At 35.8% G+C, this 19,314-nt stretch overlaps 1 protein-coding gene across 55 annotated transcripts in view; it reads left to right on the forward strand.

The window, feature by feature from the left end:
- Positions 1–19,314, forward strand: part of RALYL (RALY RNA binding protein like) — a 739,058-nt gene that overhangs the window by 414,008 nt on the left and 305,736 nt on the right. The gene's annotated exons all lie outside the window — the stretch shown is intronic.

Below are 19,314 nucleotides of genomic sequence, written 5' to 3' on the forward strand. Positions count from 1 at the left end.
TTTTTTTCTTCCATTGATTTTCTTTGATTTGCTCTTGCTCTAACTTCTTTCCTTCTATCCTGGGACTTGATTTGTATATAGCAAATATGACAAATCTTACTGATATCAATAGAGCAGAAAGGGGGAGGCTGGTAGAGTCTCTCTGTTACTTAAAGAAGCAGGATGAGGGTTTAGGTGACAAAAAAAATGATAGTTGATAGAAAACAAGAGGCTACAGATTCAACAGAATATATGCTTTAATAGGAAAACGAACCTTTTAAAAGCTAGCTTTTCTGAGGAAGGAAAATCTAAAATAATGCAAGTCATCTGACTAAGACAGTGAAGTTTCTTCACTTCTCACAAAAGCAAGAAGAACAGGCAGAAGTTTTTCTAAAGTAATGAAACATAGTCCAGTGGAATAAGTCCTTTATCACCGTGGCGCTTAGTTTCCTCAAAATTCTCTGAATCTATCATTTTATGATTTAAGGTCCTAAACCAGACTTTCTTCCCCAATTCTCTATGATATTTTATGGCACCACCATCTACCTAGTCATTCGCTCCAGAAAACTTACATAGATTTTGTGATTCCTCCCTTGTGCTCACCTCTTAATTATCAAATTCTGTTTTATTGTCCAAACATTCTTGATTTTTCTCCCTCCTTTCAAGCTTTACTCCCAATATCCTTGTTCAGCCTCACATGAGTCCTATACTGACTGACTGAAATAGCACTGTAATAGGTTTCTGTGACTCCAGTCTTGTCTCCTTCAAATCCATGCTCCATGGATTTCACCCTAATGATGTATCTAAAGTAGGGATCAGCAAACTATAGCTTACAGGACATATCTGGGCTTCTGTTCACTTTTGTATGGTCCATAAACCCCCAAAAATGTTTTCTTCATTTTTAATGATTTCAAAAATCAAAGAGGAATAATATTTTGTGACACATCAAAATGACAAGAAATTTAAATTTCAGTGTCCATAAATAAAGGTTTATTGGAACACAGCCACACTCGTTTCTTTATGTCCTGTCCATGGGTGTTTTGTGCTATAACAGCAGAATTCAATAGTTGCAACAGAGATCATAGAATCCATGAAGTTTAAAATATTTAATATCTGGCTCTTTACAGAGAAAGTTTGTTGATCCCTGCTCTTAAGCACAAAGACTATTGCATCATTTCTCGAATCAAAATATTTTACTGATATTCTGTCACCTGCAGGAGAAACCTAGCCTCCTGAGCATGACATACAAACCTCTGCTATCTGAGCCCTATTCTCTCCAGCCTCACCCTTGTTTATACTGTTGCCTTGCACTAGATTGTTCTGCTCTGCCTTGGTTCCTATGCTTGTCTTCATGGAATGCCTTACTCCTCCCTCTTTATCATGTAACTTTCGCATTACTTATTTATTTTTAGGGGCAGGGTCTTGCTCTCTCACCCAACCTGGGTTACAGTGGTGCAGTCATAACTCTCACTGCAGCCTTGAACTCCTGAGCTGAAGCAATCCTCCTGCCTTAGCCTCCCGCTACAGATGTGCACAATCATGCCCAGCTTGTACTACAGGTGTGCACCACCATGCCCAGCTCTGTTTCTCATTTCTGTAGAAGGAGTATTGAGATCATCTCCTCCAGGGAAACTCTGTAGACCTCCATGCAGAATAGTAAGTCCTCCCTGACTTCTCTTGTCCTACATACCACATTATTTTATGAATATCGATTTGTGCTTGTGTCTAAACTGCAAGCTCTGGATTTTGAGCCCATCAATACTTGGAAAAGGATCTCATTTTTTTTAATCCTCAGCAAATATCATTGTCTCACACTTAATAGTGGCTCAATCAGTGTTTGTTGAATAAATTAAAATGTCTTATATATATCTCAACTAACAATAGTCTTTTAGGTTTAAGGAGGACTTTACATAATACTATAAACAGTATCATCTGATAACAAAAATGTAGCATTAAAATTATTTGTAAACATTTCTAATCTTTTCTACTATGAATAATGCTACAATAAATATAGGAGTGCAGGTATCTCTTTAACATTTTGATTTTCTTTTCTTTGGAAAAATATCCAGCTGGATCATATGGTATTTCTGTTTCTAGTTTTTGGAGAAACCTCCATGCTGTTTTCAATAGTGGTTCTCTCTCCACGTTCTAGCTAGCATTTGTTACTTTTTGTCTTTTTGATCATAGCCATTCTAATTGTGATGAGATGACATTTCATTGTGGTTTTGATTTGTGTTTTGCTGATGATTAGTGATGCGGAACATTCAATTTTGGTATGTCATTACAAAATATCTGATTTTCAGTTTAGGGACACTGTAAAACATATAACCTTAAGATTATTTAGATGTAAAAATAAATTGCTCTCATAGGGCTGAATAACACATTTCATAAATATTTAAACAACTCTGCTTGCCATTCTCTTTATTATCATGTATCACTGACCACTAAAAATTTCATATATGTGCTATGATTATAGAATAAATTAAAACCTCATACATGTGAAATATTTTATATATTTAATATTAGCTAGAAGAAAATATTTAGCATAGTTAAATTTAGCATTAATATGTCATAGCATCACTTTGTACTTCTTAAGTATATATATACAATTGTAATTTGTCAATATGCAATAAAATAAAAATTCAAGATAATACTTTGTATTTATTTTGTAAGTCAAAAAACAATATAAGAAAATAGGCTTCTTCCTCCCATAGAAGTTAGTAGAATAACTGTAGCAAACATATCACTAATTAAACATTAGTGAAATGTCATTTTTAAAGAATCTAAGGCAATATATATCTATTGAGCTTCCTACCATGGTTAAAACCTACTGTTAATTATTGAGATATTCAAAGGATTTACTCCCTTTGATCTTGCTAATGAGAAAAAAATATTTAATTCTTTAAGTGTTTTATCATTCATTCTTTTCACCCTCTCCCTCAACAACAACAACAACAATTTGGATTGATTCAATTGCATTTGTAAATGTATGTGTATGTGTTTCTTAAACAAAGGAAATTTTATTTTAGCTATACACTTTTTAGATCTCTTTTTCTTCAAACTAGTTGTTCCAAAAAGAATATTTTGCTTTTGTTATTTGCGGAGGGATGTGAGAAACTTGTTCAGGGGTTAGCAGGAGGTGTTTTTTTTTTTTTTTTCTTCTGCCATTATCTGTAAAAGTATGAACTCTCATGACCTAGCCTAATCTGATGATGGGTCACTTTCTGTTTTGAATCTAATTTTTATGTTGCCAATCTTTGCCAGACTGATCGGTAATATCCTAAGCACATACACTTATAGATTTTCACAGTGCTGTCTGTCAATCTTTGACTTATTTCATCCCAAAACTTTTAACTTGGGAATTTGCTGTTATTATTTTTGCTTTAATATTGGTTTTACTATTTTGCTTTTTCCCTTCTAATACAGAATAGTGTAATGTTTAATTACATTCCATCCCCTAATACTCATCCTCAGTTCATCAAATATCGTCCTTTTCTTTTTTTAATCATGTGAAATTAGAACACCTCTCCAAGGGCTAAGGTGAAGCATTTGGTTCTTTATATATAAATACAGACAAATCACTGATTGTGAGCTATTTTCTGACATTTTTGGTTTATGCTAGACTGTCTCTTGGCTGGACTTATTTAGTTTATCTTGTGACCATCCACTTTCTGTTATTTGCCTGCTGAGCACACATTTTTGCTTTTGCAGCCTGTGTAGAAAGGTCTGCACTTTAAAAAGTTAATAGGTAAAAGGAGGTTGGTATTTGAGGCAAAATGTTTTCCTAGGAGGATCCCCATAGCTGACATTTGCTTTCCTTCTAGATCTCACAGACTGAATTTGCAGGCCTTTGGGACTCTGTGCACAGCCCATCTGTTAGAGCAAAGCTATGCCAAGCTGATCTGGATATGACTGAGAGGAATGAGGAGGGGATTTTTAAAAATTACTTTTATAGTCATTTTCTTTTTCTTTAAATACAAAGCCACATTGTTAGGATGAACTTGATTCTGCCATCCAAGGCAAACTGACAGTGTGGTATTAGAAATAAACATCAAACAGAACCTGTTGAAATGTCGGGTTATATTGGAAAGGTGTCAGGTTTCATGTCATATGTGTTTCTGTTCAATGATTTCCATCATGATGCTATTGGTTATCAACAATAACTGAATTAAGTTAAACAATATGTTCAGGAAACATTTAGTAAGTGCCTATAATGTATAAACTATGTGGAAAATCTTAGATATGCAAAGATATCTGAGATGTGGTTCCTTCTTTCAAGAAGTTTGCAAACAGGGGATAGCAGAGCACAGATGTATCCAGAGAATAAAATAAATGTCATTTAATATGCACAAATAGCATAGTTTTAATATTGATGCCACTTATATCTTAGTACTATGGATAAGCAATTCACTAAAGTGTGTTATGTATGACCTACATTTAATCTTATAACAAGTTATGTCCATTTTAGAAGGGAGGAGATGAGATGCAGACAAGTTATGGCCCCAGATATGAGAGGTCATCAGGAGGATAATGCTTTGTCTCAAAACCTGTGTTTCCCAAAAAGCTACAATGCCTAGGGAAAGCAAAGACAGAGAAAGAGAAAATCAAAAATGTACTTAACAGTGGGGCAGATGCTGGCCTCTATGAGAAATTACCTAGAAACTAAACATCCACTTTCTCGGCCTTCCTGGGACAGTGGCCTTGGAAGAGTTTCTGCCGGGAAGCCTACTAATGGGATTTAAATTAGGTCAGATGAAGCTGGTTTTGCTCTGCTTCACCTAATTCCATCTTCCTGCCTTTGAACACAGATGCAGTGGCCATAGCTGCTGCCACCATCTTGCAACATGAGAAAAAAAAAAAAGAGAATTCCATGCATAGACCTTGGCTCAGTTGAGTTGTGAACATAGCATAGCCAGCAGCTGTCTTCCTCCCATGTTTATTGTTAGGAGAAAAAAAAACTAAAGCCCTGATGGTTTAAGCCATTGGAAAATCAGATTTTTTGTTATTTGAAGCTTAATGGAAACTTAAGTAACAAAATCTATCTTTAACCTAAACTATTGAGGCTATGATGCTATTGTATTCTTCCTCTTTTTCAATATTTTAGCTTCCTTGATTTGTATAACTCCACTTACTTTTGATTTTGGAATAACTGTCTGGTTAGTCACACTTTATTTTCTCTGTAGACTGTTCTTTCACTTCCTACATCTTAACGCTATTTCCCAAAGTTCCCTTCTTGTCTCGTAATTTTCTCACTGCCTTCAGCATTTGTACTGCATACTCTCTCTTCGTGACCTCATCCTTCTCCTTGTTGTTAAAGAGGCATGTAGTGTTGCCATAAAAATGCCTTAACCATGACATCATATGCAGTGACTTCCCAAGCTGTATTTCTAGATCTTTCCCTCGAGCTCCAGACTGAAACATATCCAATAATTGCATCAAATTCAAAATATCCAATAACTGTTTTTCATCTTTCCCTACAAATCTTGTTTTCTAATCTATTCACTTGCCCAGGTCAGAAATCTATAAGTCATTTTGGACTTCTCTAGATTGTCTTTTTATTTCTAGTCAGACACCACATTCTGTTCAATTGTAATAACCCTTGACTCTATTTATTCCATCTTTATAGCCACTAACTTAGCCTAAGCTTTTGCAGTATTTCTCATCTGAATTACTGCAGTCAGACCCTTAATGGATCTCCCTCCCTCAGTTCTCTCATTCCAGTCAATTCCCCTACATTCTTATGAGAGTGATTTTCCTTAATAGAAACGTATTGGAGGCATTTGTCCACTGAGATCCTTCAGGATTTTTCCAGAGTTTTAAAGATTTAGTGCAAACGTTTAGCATGGCATTTCCTGACCTTGGTTTAGTTATCTAATCTCTTCTGTATCTATCCTATCACTTGCATTCATTTCCATTTATCCAGTTAATAAATAGCTATTGAGTAAATGATATGTATGGAAACCAGGCTAACTAACTGCTGGGGCTACAGACTTTGTCCTGGCCCTCGTTGAACTTACTGTCAAGTAGGAGAGACAGATAATAAAGTCAGCAAAATAAGTTCAGCCTGTGATTAGTAAAATAAAGAAAATAGATTTCTGTCTTTGAGAATAATGGTAGGGGAGAGTGATTTATATTACATCATCTGTGAAGGTCTCTCTGAAAAGGTAATATTTAAGCTGAGGCTTGAGAGATGAGGATTTAGCAATGTGAAGTGTTGAGGATTGAAATGTCCTAGACATAAAGAACAGAAAAATAAAGAATATAAATTTAGATATATTACCACTGAACTGTACACCTAAAAATGATAAAGATGGTAAATTTTATATGTATATTGTACCTCCAAAAAAAGAACAGCAATTATAAATGTCATGAAGAGGTAAAGAATCTGGAAGTTTCTAGAAGTGATCAGGCCAGTGGGGTAGGAGAATAAGGAATGAGAAAGGTGGTGTTAAAATGAACTATTTGAAATTCTTAATTCCCCCAAAACATGACACACTGACTATTGCTTCTTGCTTATATGAGCTTGCTATTATTATTGTTGTTATTATTGTTACTTTATTATAATTAATATTACCTAAAAAGCTTCCTCCTTTTGTCTTTGTCAGGTTAAATGTTACTCTTCTTTTAAATTCCTTTGGGATTTAAATGGATGAATGAATGAACAATTGGCATTGTATTATTATTATTACTATAAATAATTGAGAAAATATTAAAAGAGTCAGAAAAGGAGAGTGGGAAAAAGGCCTCTGAGGTAGGTGTGAGATTTCACTTGGCTTCACAGTCACACCGTGAGGCTTACCTCCTGCCCACTGTAGACAAGAGGCAGGAGAAGTGAAGTAACACATTCACATTGGCACATGAGTAAGTGAAAGAGCTAGGTAATGACTCCCTGCCTGGCTGGCTGCAAAGCAAGTGCAAACTTTAATTTAAAAAACAGACCTAAATAATAAGTAACATTTAATCTGACATACATGGACATTTGCACTATGGGCTGCAGATATGTTGGTGTTGTTATGGTTTGATTAATTGTCTGGGTGGCTTACTGTCACTTCATGAAGGTGTCTGCTAAAATGTCACTTCCTGAAAAATGTTTTTCCTGAACCTGTCTTAAGGAAACTTCACCACCACTGCTCTGGACCCTTTTATCAGGTTTTTTTTGTTTGTTTGTTTGTTTGTTTTTAATATCTGACAATTTCTATTCACTTTCCTACTATTTATAAGAGCAGAGCCTGGAGCTCAAAAACTTTATGGAACCAATGACTTGAATACTTGAATAAGAAAGCTAATCATAGCTTCTTCCACCCTCACAGTTTTATCTTACCAATTAAAAATGAATGGATATTTTTCTCCTTTTATAAAATTGAGTGCGCTTCTGACAGCACAGCTTTAGATTAATCTATTTGAATCTCTTACAATAAATAATCAGCTTCCATGCCCTATCTGCCCAAATATTGTATTTTAGGTTGCTTGTAAGCCGTGAAATTCAGGAAAGTATACTAAGTAACATGTGGCTTATTGTTAGTCTATACAAGAAAGACCTCGATTTTGGCTGCCTTTTGTTTATCTCAACCACTTTTATCTTAAGCCTTTGCTATCTACACAAAGGGCACATGTCAACACATGCAATAAGGTAGATCCAGAAGTTCCCTCCGTGCAACTGTGAGGCTGATGTGAAATGTACTGACAACTGTCCCTAACCCTGGTGCCAAAAACATAGTCCCATCTCGCTGCTGCTGCCGGCAGGGTGGGCTGTACTTTGCTGCAAGTATTCCTACATACTTCTAATTTGAATTTTTGCAAAGCATTTAAAGTATTTCTGTAAACATATCAGAAATACAGGAAAGCTTGCCACACCCTGTTTAAGAGGTTATTGTCTCTGATACTGTAGTACATTTTAATAGGGTTGTTTTCCATCTATTCTTATTCCCTCCCTTAACCTCATATCAATTTGAGATCCATCGATGTGTCACATTCGGGATTTGTTACCAAGAGAAACTTAACTGTCAGGTTTCCTGTTCTTTTTTAGAAGACGAAGAATGCTCTGTAGCTTTTACTTATTATATGTGATAGATGAAGGAAAACAGTTGAGTGCAACAAATGTATAAAAGCAGAATGGTAAATCTTTGAAAAGCTCTTTGGTGCCACCATGTGGATAAGATTTGGTAGTTTTGAAACTATGCTGGGACATTCTGTTCTTCAAACAATTCTACTTGCATACACAATTTTTGTTCCACTACCTTCCTAAAATCTAGTTCTCCCATTACCCTTGAAAAGATGAATTTTTATTATAAAGTAAATCAAGGGAAGTCTCAGAAATTGATCTGAATAACATTTAACTTTTCAGCCAGAGCTCACTTGCTCTTTTTTTCTCCCTTTGAATGTGAAATAGGGGGTAAGACCTCATTTATAAGCTTCATTTGAGGATTTTCAATAAAAGAACATTATATCTGAACTAAATCAATAACTTTTACTTGGGTTTTCATCCTCATACACAGCCTCAGGCCTGAGTACCTCTGCATTCTAATCAAAGAACATCGTCTTTTTATTTACAAACATTAATATGGCTTACTAGAAACTATTCTAAGCAATCCACAAAAACCAACATTTGCTCTTTTTGACAACCCTTTGTGGTAGGTACTGTCATCATCATAAGCATTACCACCACCACCAGCAGCAGATTCTGTGCTCTTAACCTCTGTGCTCCATTCACCTGGTGCTCATTTCAATCAGCCGATGATTTGAGGAGCCTCTCACTTAACACTCATGTTCTCAATCTATAGGCTCAACCCTGTTCAGTTTTCTAGGTGATCCTGACTCAGGCAGATAGGTTCTATGCCCACAGCCATGGCATCATTGTGTACATTGGGTCTATTATTAGTCCATTTGCTCCAAACCTAGATTCTGTAGTGCCATGGGCATGCCCTGTAAATCCCCAAATGTACTGGCAATCTTTTTCTCCCTCCCTATTGTGTTGGCCCAACCGGTATGAACTCCTGCCTCAGTAACCTAGCACACCATTTACATACTGGGGGAGAACACAACCCCGGATTCTGACCTCCTCTGAAAGGCTGAACTATGATGCTCGTGGCTAAGTAGCATAAATATTTCCATTGAAATGCCCCTGCTTCCAGGTTAAACCTAGGAGAGCCAGGTTTAAGTATAGCCAGAGTTATTTGTGAGATTCATTAATCTGCACACATTCCCTGTACAAACAGCCACACACTTGGGTCCATTCTGCGAGCCCCTGGGCCCCATCCTAACTCCTCCTCAGTGCATGTTATTAAGATCACAGGAGGTTTTCAACCCAAATCAGTCCAGCTCTTTTCCATTGCTCTGCTATATAATAACTGTACTTCTTTTGGTATTCCCCTATTCCTATGGTGCTCTTGCACTCTCATACACACATCAAGTATCTCCCCTCAGTTTCTTTAAAAAGGTGCCAATCTGTTCCACATTTGACAAAGCTTTCTCTGATAATTGGTCTGCAGCAGAGAGTTTACTAATTTCTTCAATCATAGGAAATTGAATGAATCGTTTTCAGCAAAAATCCCCCAGTTATTTGAGCAGGAACATGCTTTGGTCACTACTGACCTTGAGCTTGTAAATAATCCTTAATGTTAGTCTTTGGTTTCATGTGTGTCTGCAGAATTGGGAGACACTGTCGGTACTTTTTTACATTGTTTTAATTTAAAAAACACAAGGACATTGCTTTAGAGCCTGGAACCATTCTGTGAAAACAGAAGACAACTTAATATGGAGTCTTTAATAATTTAGTTGAATATATTTAATTTAATTTTCTCCTGAAGACATCAATATATTTTAAGTTTTTCTCTAAAGAAGTGGAGGGTCTTTCCATTGCATGCACGTAATTCAAATATGGCTGGTGTGTGCTTCTAAGTGTCTATCCAACCTGATGTTGAATGGCTGGGAATTCATACATGGACCTTTGTTTTTTACAATTAGTAGGTGTAGTCTTGTGATAAATGAATGTTTTTTGAAAACTGAGTATTAAAAAGGCATTAAAGGGCAATATACCATACATATATTTGTTTAAGGTCTTTATATAAGGGAAAAGCTCAGTGTAGTGTAGAGGAAAGATTTGGAGTCATAGAATTGAGTTCCAATTCTGCTCTCAACTGTATTAACAACTTAATAATATTTTTATTTCAGTGAAAACTTTTTATGTAAATGGAGAAAATAATGCTGTCCTTCTAGAAGTGGGGTGTGTGTGTGTGTGTTTGTTTAAAGATGATAAATCTAAAGTGCCACATTCGGGACTCATACATTTTAATTGTTTTATAATGATTATTTGTGTTATTTTTAACTCAATAAAACCCAAACAATATCTATCTTTTCTTTTCCTGTGTCTTTTCCAGATTTTCTTCTTCCTTCTCTTTTCCCCCCCCTTTTCTTCCTGCTTCTTTCTCCCAAAAAGCAGTAAAGTATGGAGAAGAAGCAATACATATCACATTCTTACAGACCAACTGCTTCATTTCATTTTGACCCTCTCTGGCCAAAGTGCATTTATAATTTACAGTAATGCAATAATAAATTTAGGATAATTTACAAAGGCAATTTTGGTTAGAGTAATTAAATATGAACTCAGAGTAATTATAAATTCAAAATGATTTTTAAACTGTGAGTTAGAGAAAAATCAGCAAAATATTTAGCAAAATCGTAATTCAAAATGAAGGAACCTTTGCATATTTTCATTTAAAATTTAAAATCAGTTTAGATATCTGACAGTTTTCTCCAATGTGTCCCAACATTGCCCATAGGTAGACCACAGAATCCCCAATCAGTGTCTTGCTCCACTCTTAACCATTAGGAAACTGCAGAAAGCAGAGTAATTCGGTCCACTTGGGCATCTGGATCGCCTGCCCTGGACACTGAGCATTAGAGAGCTCTGCTCTGCTCTCTTCCCAGCAATATTTTCCTCTATCTGTATGTCCACTACCAATGAGGAACCTATTGTGTATATACTTAGATCCTCCGCCCTTCTTGTCAACCTGTGTTTCTCAAACCCTCTGGGGTCAAGGTTCATTTTTCTCTTTACTGTTTTGAGGATCAATATGTTGATAAAAATACAATAAAAATAAATTTCTAAAAAGACAAAATGTAATTTAAAAGAAATATAAGCATCTAGGTTTTTTTTTTTTTATTAGCTTCAACAGACATGTAAGTACTCAATCGAGTTGCTGTGAAGTTTCTGAGTACTCAGTCAATTGCTGTGAAGTTTCTAAGCTCTTATTCTCAATTTTGTATATATCTTGTTGCGGTCTAGAAACAGTTTCCAGACAAGCTGTTTATGGACATGCTTTGAGTAGCAGTGTTCTAAATCACACTCCCAATATTCAGGCCCCCCGAATTTCCTGCACAAAGGTCCCAAGCCAGCCACAATTGCCTAGAGCATCTCCTCCAGGATCATTCTCCCAAGAGTGGTGAAGGAATCCCTTGGCCCTCGGGATAACCTAGGGTAAACTGTTGGTGGATGTTGTGGGCTTGTGGACAGAACTTGGACGTATGGGCCAATCTGTCCCTGCAGGGAGACATGGGCACCTCATGCAGGACTGGGATGGGAATGGGAAGAAAGGGGCCCAGGATCCTAGCAATTCCTCCTCTTACCCTCTTGCTCCATTCCCAGGAAACATTTGAGTGGAGATGCGATTGCTGTTTTGTCAGCTTTTTCTATATTTCTGAAGGCCCTGTTGTTCCTTGAGCCTGGACTCCCTGGATCTGCTAGACTAATCCTGAGCTTTGCTCCTGCCTCCCACTTTGCCCTTCCCCAGGGCTGCGGGTTTTCATGTTCAGTGCATTTGCTCCATATTACTCCTGTTTCCTTTTCTGAAAATGAATCTTTTAAACTATTAGGATAAAGTGTGCCTATCCTAAATTCATGGATTTCTAAGATTTTTATAGGAATGACACAGAGTTTCTGAATTCTAGCCACTGTAACATCTCATTGCCATGCCACCTCTGAAATGTCTGTGTTGATGACCCTGATTTAGGACCCAGATCTGCCACGAATCCTTGGTTCAGTTTAGCTCAGCAGAAATGTGTTGCATATCTGCAGTTGAGCAGGCACCACGTTGCGTTCTGGGATTACGATGCTGCATAAGACCAAACCCATCCACTCAAAGAGTGTAACATCTAATAGGCTTTTTTTTTCTTTTTTGTAAATGTGGAATCTGAAATCCAGAGAGTTGAAGCAATTTGCCCCCAATCCCACAGCTAGTGCAAAGAAGAAGTTGCTTCAAACCAGATTTTTTGGCTCAGTGTCCAGGGACCTTTCCAGTATATCATTCTTCCTCATATGTCTCAGAACAAAGCTAGTAGACATTTCTGAAAAACGTTCACCTTTGCTGCATTGCTGCTCCATACATCAAAGAGATTTACACAATCTTGAGGTTCTATAAGATCTATTGAATCCCTCCCAATGTGTAGGAGGCACAGAGAATTGGAAACAGTTAAGGGGTCTGAGTTTAATTCTGAGGAACTTAAATTTATAGTTTTTCTTTGATCAACTTAACCTGTTGCCTTCAGTTTCCTTGTCTGTGAAGTAGGAATCATCTATGTCATAGAGTTGGTATGAAAATTAATTATATACGTGAAAGTATTGGTACCATTGGTGCTACCTCATATTAGGAACTCAGTGCATGAGAATTCCTTCCCCTTTCTTGTCTGTTTTGTGAAACTCAAATCCTTTAGTCACTAGATGTAAATGTACACATTAAAAGTATTCATTAGAAGGTGCAAATTCACTATAGCCACTGCCTAGTTAAAATTCACTATAACCAGTGCCTAGTTCAAAACTTGATTTTTTAAAACGATTTTTTGAAACAATTTCAGTTTAACAGAAAAATTGAGCAGACACTGCAGAGTTCCTATATAATCCTGAATGCTCTGCATACAGTTTCTTCTATTATTAGCATCTTATATTAGCACAATGTATTTCCGGTAATTATTGAACCAATGTTGATGTGTTAGTCTGTTCTCATGTTGCTAATAAAAACATACCTGAGAGTTGGTAATCTATAAAGGAAAGAGGTTTAATGGACTCACAGTTCCACGTGGCTGGGGAAGCCTCACAATCATTGTGGAAGACAAAGGAAAAGCAAAGGGATGCCTCACGTAGTGGCAGGCAAGAGAGAGCGTATGCAGGGGAACTCCTCTTTATAAAACCATCAGATCTCATGAGACTTATTCACTATCATGAGAACAACATACGAAAGACCCGCCCCCATAATTCAGTTACCTCCCACTGGATCCCTCTCATGTCAGTCACATGGGAATTATGGGAGCTACAATTCAAGATGAGATTTGGGTAGGGACACAGCCAAACCATATTAGTTGATAAACCATTAACTAAAATCCAAAGTTTATTAAGATTTTTTTCTTTTAGTTTTTACCGAATGTCTTTTTTATGTTCCGGGATCCCATTTAGACTACCATGTTATACTTAGCTGTCATGTCTTCTTAGGTTCTGCTTGACTGCTTGACTCCCAGACTTTCTTTGTTTTTGATGATAGTTTTGAGGAATACTGGTCAGGTGTTTTGTAAGATTCTTTTCTGTTGTATTTTGTCTGATATTTTTCTCATGATTAGACTGCAGATAGAGTTTTTTGGAAGGAACATCACGGAGGTAAGGCAATTTTTAGCACATCACAACAAAGGATACATATATCCTTTATGTATAACTGTTGATTTATAACTGTTGGTGCTGATCTGGATCAACCAGCTGAAGTAGTGTTTGTCAGATTTTTCCACTGTAATGTTATTCTTCGCTGCTCTTCTTTGTGTATTGTGCTCTTTGAAAGGAAATCATTATATACAGCCCACATTCAAAAAGAGTGAGTAGTTATGTTCTCTCCTTTAGAGAGGAGTATCTACATAATTTATCTGGAATCCTCCTCCCGCATTTATAAGTTTATTAAACCACTTGTTTATATCAGTATGGAATGATGGGTATTTGTTTTATTTGGGGGTTATTAGCCATGATATATTTTACTTATTTTGTTACTCAAATACTTCCAGCTTTGGCCACTCAGAGCTCCTTCAGTGGGTTCCTGTGCACTTCGACGTCTCTCCGTCAATGTACATGTGTGTATGTGTGTATATTTTGTTTGTTTAGCATTTTCTTACTTTGTGGCAGTACAAGATGCTCCAGGTTCAGTTTGGATATTTCCTACTCCAGTATACAATCAGCTATTTCTGCAAGCATCCCTAGTTGTTTCTAAAGGAGAATGGCATTTGAAACTAAGATCTGGACACTAGGCATGCTTGTTTCTACTGCAGTACCATTTCCTTTAGGCATTTGGATTTTAATGTCCACATTCATGGTGTTATTATTATCACAGTTTATCCTACTTTACAGAAAACTAAAAGTGGTATAATAAGATGCCACTGAGTGCATTTTGGAAATTTTTTATTCACATAACTTTTTCCAGTTTTTTGTGATTTGATTGATGAAAGTGTCATTAACTTCCTAAAAATTATGATGTACATCAAAGAGGTGAAGTGATTATCTTTACAGCAAATAAATGTTTATATACACATTTTTCCCATTTACCTAACCATTTTCTTCCTAGCATTATAACCATCCCATTTTCTCTAGGACTGAGGCAGTTCACAGTTTTAAAACCAAGAAAGTCCTGGGCAAGAATTAATCAGCCACTCTATTCACAGCTCTGATAACCATTATAATTAGGTATTAAATAGAGACACTTAGAGATATGCGGGTGTGTGTTCATACATGTATATGAATGAACACATACACACACACAAAAGTTGACATTATGTCTGAATATTTTCATCATAGTATCCCTAACTTATTGACTGGTTCACTCTATTAATATTTGTAAGTTAAATGAGTGACAAGGTTAATTGAATGAATTCATAGCCTGTTTGATTAACGCAATAAATATATGGTCGTACATCATATAAGTATTTACACATTACATGTCTGTTTTTAGAATACTTTTCACCTACTTTCTCATTATCATTGTATCTCCACTTTCCCTAAACTGTAGTAATGTTGTAATATTTGGGATAGTTTAAAAGCTTTGTTTTTATAGCCATGTCTATAGTGGGTTCACTCCCCCAATTACACAAAGCACTCTCATACTAGTAAACAAAGTGTTGGAATTTGCATTTGTGGATGTGAACATTTTTTTCTGTTTTTGGTTATTTGTCTCCATTTTTTTAAATAAATTTACTGTTCCGGTTTTTTTGTTAATTTTTGTATTTGTATTTGTCTTACTAGTCACAGCTCTTTTCATAGTAATGGTATTAGCCTATTTTCTAACATATACTAACCTTTTTCTCTTAGATTGTGGTTTGAATTGTTTGCTATGTAGAAGATTTATATTTTGGGATTTTGGGGGTTTGTGTGTTTCCAGTAGTGAGATTTATTTATTATTTCTTCATAACTTCTGGCTCTGGTGTCATTTGTAAAACTTAAAAAATGCTATTTGTTAAAAAAAACAGCATGAAAAGTGGTCCATGTGGTTGTCTGTATATTACCCAAGTCATGAATACCTAGCAATATCAGTTATCAGAAATGACAAATATCATAAAGTCACATCAGGAGAGCATAGTAAAGGCAGGAGAGCATACTTAAGTTGTAACACTTTCCCTGTGACAAACTCCCCCTTTTGTAGGCTTTGTTGCTGGCATATACCGTATTTATCTATGAGCCAGGACAAGACCACTAATGAATCTTATAAAGCTTGAGAAAGTGACTATGCAAAAGAAAATAGATCCAGCCTGTTACTCTACTCCAGAAGAGAGATGTGCAAGGACTTTAAAAATAAACAGTCTTCAATATTCCTTTCCGGAGATAATACGATTCTTTTATGTGAGATATGTAACTTTCTTTTCCTTTAATTACTACAAAAATAATTTGAATTTTAGACAACTCTGTGCTATTTGGGAGTATTACTTTGTGTGAGTTGGTGCAAAATGGAAAATTACAAACATCATTTAAATGTCCTCTGAATAAACTAGGTATAAAAAGAGTAAGAAAACCAAGTTCAATATCCTTGGAACAACATTGCTAATGTTATTTTTAAATGCATGTTTATGAATCCATAGTGACACTGCACAAAGAAAAAAATCACCACTGCATGTAAATTGCTTGCATTTTCCAGTAAATACCACTTTAGTTTTCGTAGTAAAATTTACTGTGCAAAATGGATTATACTCACTCTTCCCTTTGAAGGTGGTTGCAAAGTGTGTTTTGTGATCCAAGTTCATGGATTGCAGAAGCTCTTGAAAAGATTACGGGTTTATGAGTTGCTTTAGGTAAAGAAGTTAATCAAATACTAGAAAAAATAAAATATCTAGGTAAACACACAATTTCAATATAAAAAATTTAAGGTAGGCAGAGTTATGCTTGTCTTATAGAATTACAGTCTGAGACCTGAAAGCCTCAATTTTCATAAGAACTAAAAATGAATCATTTCAGAATCAAGTTTAACACAGTAAACTTAGTTGCAAATAAAGGAAAAACATAAAATATATACTTAAAGAAATAAACACCCTTGAACTTTTTACTGTGTTCTTTCACAAAATAATTGATGCTAAACATAATCACAAAATTTGGGCAGAAAGCTCATGTGACATTATCCTGACTCTTAATGATAATAATAATGATAACCATAGAATCCACCGGATGTTGAAAATGTGCAAGACACTGACACAGGTACCTCGCATGTGGTAACTAACTGCATCCTCTTAGCAACCTTAGGAAGGAACTGCTATTACTATCCCCATTTTAGATGAGAAAATTTAGACACACAATGGTGAAATAAGTTATCCAAAGTCACACACTAACTGAAGTAGGCAGAAATTCAATGTAGATATAATAGGTAATATCCATTTTTATCACTTATAGAATCCTGTTGATCCCATACAATAATGTACAGGGAAAAAAAGCCTTTTGAAAAATTGTAATGCCCAACAACATAGCTAAAGCATTAACATCATTATAGGTTTTTTAGTCTCTCAAATATTTTCCTAATTCATGCAAAATTATTACTTAAGGTCAGAAATCCGCAGTTTTTACTTTAAACAATTTTCTTCAGATTTATATATATATATATATATATAATACACAAATCTTGCCATTTATATTTCAATGGCTACAGAACTTGTAGCCTACCAGCCACCTTCTCTCGTTGGTCTAAAAAGTATAGAATCTTGAGTCAAGGGGTCTTCTCTTCCAAATTCATCTCCACAATTTATAAGCTTTTACAGAATAACTAAATTGTTAGGCCTTAGCGTCCTCATCTGTAAAATGGGATCCACTAATAGTACCTATGACACTGAATTACTATAAAGATTAGTGTTTGTTAGCATCAATTTTCAAAGATAATTAGTTGAAGCATATTGTGCCTGGCACACAGTAAGAACTCAGTAAGCCTTAGCTGTTGCTGTTGTTATTAATATAAGTACGAGTATCAGTATTACTCTCAGAATAGGTATTATTGTTGGTGTTGGAAGTAGTCTTATAAGAACAAACTAAAAGTTCTCCCTACACTCAAATTCTGAGCTAATATTATAGGAATGAAATCACAAAGGCCATCTGACAACATAAATCTTCCTGACTTGAGATTGCTTTTCAGAATCTAGAAGGACACATAAGAGATGGATCTCCTGCATGGAAGAGTGGTCACTAAACTTTAGATTACATCTTCCCTATTTCTCCAGAATGACTGTGCCTCCAGCCCTTCAATCTCCCTCAGTAATAGGCTGTTTAACTTACTTGTGGAATATTGTATAGATTCTCAGGTATTTAAGGCTGGAAAGAACCTTAGAAGTGAATTATTAGGTTGGTACAAATGTACTTGTAGTTTTTGCCCTATTTTTAATGGCAAAAACCACAATTACCTTTGCACCAACCTACTAGTTCAACTGGTGGGCTCTACAGAGGGCTGTAAAGTCAGGATTTGCTGCTATGGAAAGAGCTAAGACTACAGTCAGATTGTTCCTCCCTTCTTTCCTTTTTTTTTTTTTTTTCATTTTCTTTGTTTGGAAACATTTGCATATTTTCTAAAATCTTATAAAATATGCTGGTAGATTTGAACCCACAGAACAGTTTCCCCAGAATTATCCAGGAGGATATGGTACAGGCACTGTACATGGCATTTTACGACCTCAATAAAATATCTTCCTGAAACCTGCCCTTGAGGAATGATGGCATAAATTACTGTAAAATGAGGCTTTAGAGGCAGAAACCACTTATTTCCTTATGTGCTACTATATGTTCAGTCCTTGTCACAGTGCCTGACAGCTAATAGGTATTTCAAAACCATATAATCAATATGTGTGCTTTTTTAAGCAGCACTTTTTCATGAAGTTGCACTTTAAGATATTTGTAGTTTTTTACGGAAATATTTCTAAAATGAATTGTTACTTTTTTGCTCTACTCTTTTATTAAACTGAGTTTACCTAATTTAGCTAGTCCCAGAGGACTGTTAGAGATTCTTTCTCTCCTGTTAGCTCTTATTTCCCAGTTGTATCAGCTTTAAAGAGCCCCCTTTCCTGCTATCATGTTAAATACATTGAAAAAAAAAAAAACAGAACGTCCTTATGCGTAGCATGGGCATCTGCATACAATAGACTATCAATGTCAGTATGTATTTATATACCATCTTATTCCAGAAAAGAATGACACCTGCTTAAATGCTCAATAAAGGTATTGCAGAGTTAAATTAAATGTGATTAATCAGTTTAAACAGTGTACTACAAATATAAGTCAATACGTTCTAAGAGAGCCTGACTATAGAACTTTCGTCTTTTTTTTTTTTTTTTTTTTTTTTTTTTTTACTTATTATTATACTTTAAGTTTTAGGGTACATGTGCACATTGTGCAGCTTAGTTACATATGTATACATGTGCCATGCTGGTGCGCTGCACCCACTAACTCGTCATCTAGCATTAGGTATATCTCCCAATGCTGTCCCTCCCCCCTCCCCCCACCCCACAACAGTCCCCAGAGTGTGATGTTCCTCTTCCTGTGTCCATGTGATCTCATTGTTCAATTCCCACCTATGAGTGAGAATATGCGGTGTTTGGTTTTTTGTTCTTGCGATAGTTTACTGAGAATGATGATTTCCAATTTCATCCATGTCCCTACAAAGGACATGAACTCATCATTTTTTATGGCTGCATAGTATTCCATGGTGTATATGTGCCACATTTTCTTAATCCAGTCTATCATTGTTGGACATTTGGGTTGGTTCCAAGTCTTTGCTATTGTGAATAATGCCGCAATAAACATACGTGTGCATGTGTCTTTATAGCAGCATGATTTATAGTCCTTTGGGTATATAC

The sequence above is a fragment of the Homo sapiens genome, chromosome 8 (genome assembly GCF_000001405.40).
Source record: "Homo sapiens chromosome 8, GRCh38.p14 Primary Assembly".
Classification (NCBI taxonomy): domain Eukaryota; kingdom Metazoa; phylum Chordata; class Mammalia; order Primates; family Hominidae; genus Homo; species Homo sapiens.